Source organism: Homo sapiens, chromosome 11 (assembly GCF_000001405.40).
Source record: "Homo sapiens chromosome 11, GRCh38.p14 Primary Assembly".
Taxonomy (NCBI): Eukaryota; Metazoa; Chordata; class Mammalia; order Primates; family Hominidae; genus Homo; species Homo sapiens.
This window is the reverse complement of record NC_000011.10, coordinates 121912171-121916330: the sequence shown is the minus strand read 5'-3', so window position 1 is coordinate 121916330 and position 4160 is coordinate 121912171.

Below are 4160 nucleotides of genomic sequence, written 5' to 3'. Positions count from 1 at the left end.
CTTTTGCTTTGAGATTCAGGTTCCTTATCTGAAAAGAGAAAGAGAATTTTAGACTTTCATAAACCCATATAGTGCTACTATTTTTTTGCTCATGCAACTCAAAGTCATTCTTTTTTTTGAGAGAGAGAGAGAAAATTTAAAACATAGGACCATACAATAAAAAAATTCTTTTTTCTAAATATCATAGAGAAAAATCAGGAGACCAAGTCAATATAGAAAGTAAAATAAATAGGAAATCTATTAGCATAAAACCAACTAGTTACCCATGTGGCTTTAGCATTGCTTTTGAGTTTTTTATTTATGCTATATATACATATAGCATATATATGTATATATGTATATAGCATATATATGTATATATATACATATGCTATATATACATATAGCATAAATAAGCTTGAGTGTGTGTATGTGTATATATAAATAATATATATTATATAACAACACAGTAGATTATGAAGGGAGGAAGAAAGGGAGGGAGGAAGGGAGGAAAAGAGAGAAGAAGAAGGGCAGCTATGATGCTGAAACTCAAGTTGAAACCAAAGCACGGACTTAGTGTTCACTCCATAACTTTCTGTACCCAGTCAACTCTGATAGAATGTGACCCCACCTGTTAATGGGAAGAGCTATTACTGTTTGGTTTATGCTTGCCGCAACAACAAATGAATCTCACATGTACATAGACACATGTGCAGTCTCACACAAGCACACTTACAGACAACAGGTCATAATTCCCCTTCAGCATTAATTCCAAGAATTGCTACACTGTTAAATTCTGTCTTCCAAAGAAACTTAACTTTCATATGTAAATAATTCAGCATTACCTCTCTTCCTATGAGGGTGAAAAAAAATTTCTATAACACAGCTTCTAATTAATCCTCAGTATGAAATGTAACTTTACATTAAATGTTTAAAACATTCCTGGACATACCTTAATCCTTTCTCTAACCGAGAAAGGTCTTATAAAATTGACTGCCATTTATCAACCCGATAGAGCTGAAACCCACAATTTAACAAAATTGTTATCAGAAGCGGCTCCCCTGGTTGGCACGACACCACAAAGGTGCATGAAATTCCACACACCCAACACTTTGAGTTAAAAGCACAGTAATTCCATGAAGTTTTTTGTTCCGAGTTGAGAGAATGATTCTGTAATGACTAACACTTCTTCAGATTTATCAGTGTAACATTATGTTAAGTATTTCATAAATGGATCCTTTTTAAAAAAAATTCTCGTGAGAAAATTTTAAGGGAAGTTTAAGGTTGTTTTGTGGATCTCTTCTTGAAATTTTTATTACTAAAATTCAATTTTAATATATTAAAATTAAAAAGATTTAAAGAAAACTTTATGGAGAAATGACCTCCCTAAAGATGGCTCTGTAGCCAAAGGAGTTTCAGGGAATAAAAGGCTCTCCTACTTAGCCCATTAGACATTAAGCATATTCAGATTTCAAGCACGGTCTGGTCATGGAAGTGGAGAATGAAGATGTAGTAGGATTTGCCACACCTACTCTGACTCTCAAATGTCAGTTCTTTTCTCCTGGCACTCTTATATGGATGAGAATGGCTGTAGCTCCCAGGAGGTTGGCCAGTCACTGGCTCCCAGGCACTCTCTGTTGAGCAGTTTAATCAGACACATCAGAACAAGTCTAACCTCAGAGGGAAAGGGGCCAAGTCTGCATTCTGGACATGGTCTGGGCTCAAATCAAAGAGAACCGAGTGTGGATAACCTTTGTGACATTTCTTCCCATTTGTCTCTGTTTCATCTCTGCATATTTCAGAAAGTATTGAAACAAATCCTGTTGGGGGTGGAGAGGGTATCAGCTAAAAATTATAAAATAAGAATTGAAAAGCAGAATGAAAGGCCACACAAATAAGCTAGCCATAACATGGAGGCTATGACAGTCATGTTTGATCCTGGGAAAAATAAAACAATCACGAATATTGTTCTTTTCATTCATGCTTTTTGCCCAACTGAGGTTCTTGCAACTTTAGAAAATGAAGAAAAGTGTAAAGATAATTTCAAAATATTTTGTAATCTCATGACAGAGATTTACAACTGTTAATATTTCAGTGTGTTTCCTCCTAGCTTTTCTCTTTGTCTCACTGCAAATAGATTATATAATGAACATTCTCCCATGTCATTACTCTATGCAAACACTATTTGTCCTGTTCTTATGTGGAAATATCACAATTTTTTCATCCCACCTGCTTATTGTAGGACATTTTGTTTGCTTCTAATATTTTGCTATTATAAATAAATTAATGATGAATAGTTTATCCAAAATATTCTTAAGTGATTCTTATAATTTTCTGAGGACATGTTCTTACAAGTGGAATTATCAGGCCAAGTGGCAGAAACTTCTCTATTGTTCTTGATAACTATTGACAAATCTCTTTCTAGAAAGTCAGTACCTTTCCATTGTAACAAATAATGCATGAAAGTAATTTTCTAAAATTCTTTTCAAAATGAAGTGTGAGTATTTTGAACACTTTCACAGGTGTAAATAGTATTTCATTATTTGATTTTCTTTTAATTCTAATAAAATGGAATAAGCATTTGATTTCCTCTTTGGAGAACACCCTATTTACATGTTTTCCCAGTTTATGTTTAGATTTTCATATGTTTAATTTTTTTATATTTTATTGATTGGTTTTTCTGTTTGAACATAGGCTTTTCATGTTTTTTAAATATTTATTTGTTTGTTTGTTTGTTTGTTTATTTATTGAGACAGAGTTTCGCTCCTGTTGCCCAGGCTGGAGTGCAATGGTACGATCTCGGCTCACTGCCACCCCCGACTCCCAGGTTGAAGCGATTCTCCTGCCTCAGCCTCCCAAGTAGCTGGGATTACAGGTGCGGGCCACCATGCCCAGCTAAGTTTTGTATTTTTAGTAGAGGCGGAGTTTCTCCATGTTGGTCAGGCTGGTCTCAAACTCTCGACCTCAGGTGATCTGCCCACCTTGGCCTCCCAAAGTGCTCGGATTACAGGCATGAGCCACCACGCCTGGCCTATTTTCATTATATTCTTATGTTTATTATATTCTTATGTTCTTATAAATCTATTACATTTTTATCTATCTTAGTTTTATCCATTATATTTTCTAAATATTTACAGTAGAAAAGTAATTGAATATCATATATGTACTTTGTAATCCACCACTTGATTTAACACTAATTCATTCTGATATTTTTTTCAGTTCACTATTATTGTCTACTAGAGATTCTGAAAATAAAGTATCAAGCATTCTGAAAATTGTGAATATTTAGTTTATCCCTTGCAAATAATTTAACTTCTTGATTCCGTTTCATATGTAAGCATCTTTTCTCCCACCTCCACCAGTTTTATTAATGAGCTTGATAATTATAATTCATTTAAGATATAAACTTTTGTTCATATTAAGAAAGAATATTGCTTGTCCTACTTCACTGTAATTTACTTTTTCAATACTAGATACTAAATTCTATCACAACTATTGACATAATCATGTGGCCTTTCTTCATTTTGACTTACTGAGAGACACAGTACTTTAATAAATGTGAATTATTTTATTCAAGAATATATTCTTCTATGTCAAAAGGGGTTTGCTTTTGTTTTTCTTTTTACCATGCCTTTATGAGTGTCTTATTTTAACTTTTTGTATCCACATTCTTAAATAAGGCTATTCCACAGTATTGTTGTGTGCATTATAGAAAAGGTTTTCTTATCAGTCTTATATTATCTTAGTAAATGAGTTCAGACATGTTGAATATTTTTCTCTATTATGGAAATGTTTACATTTTACATTACTTTCAATGTTTAAAAAACTCATCAGTGAAACTGTCTAATTTTTTATCCGATAAAATAATTCTATAATGATTCTTTGAAAATGTTGGTCATATTATTTCTTTGGCTCAAAATTTCCAATTCTTTTTTTTTTTTTTTCCTTTTCAACTTTTATTTTAGGTTCAAGGGGTACATGTTCAGGTTTGTTACACAGGTAAATTCTGTGTCATGTAAGTTTGGTGTACAGATTATTTCATCACCCAAGTAATCAGCATAGCCCCAATAGGCAGTTTTTCAAGCCTTACACTCTCCCTACCCTTCACCCTCAAATATGCCCCAGTGTTTATTATTTCCTTCTTTGTGTCCATGTGTTCTCAATGTTTAGCTTCTACTTAC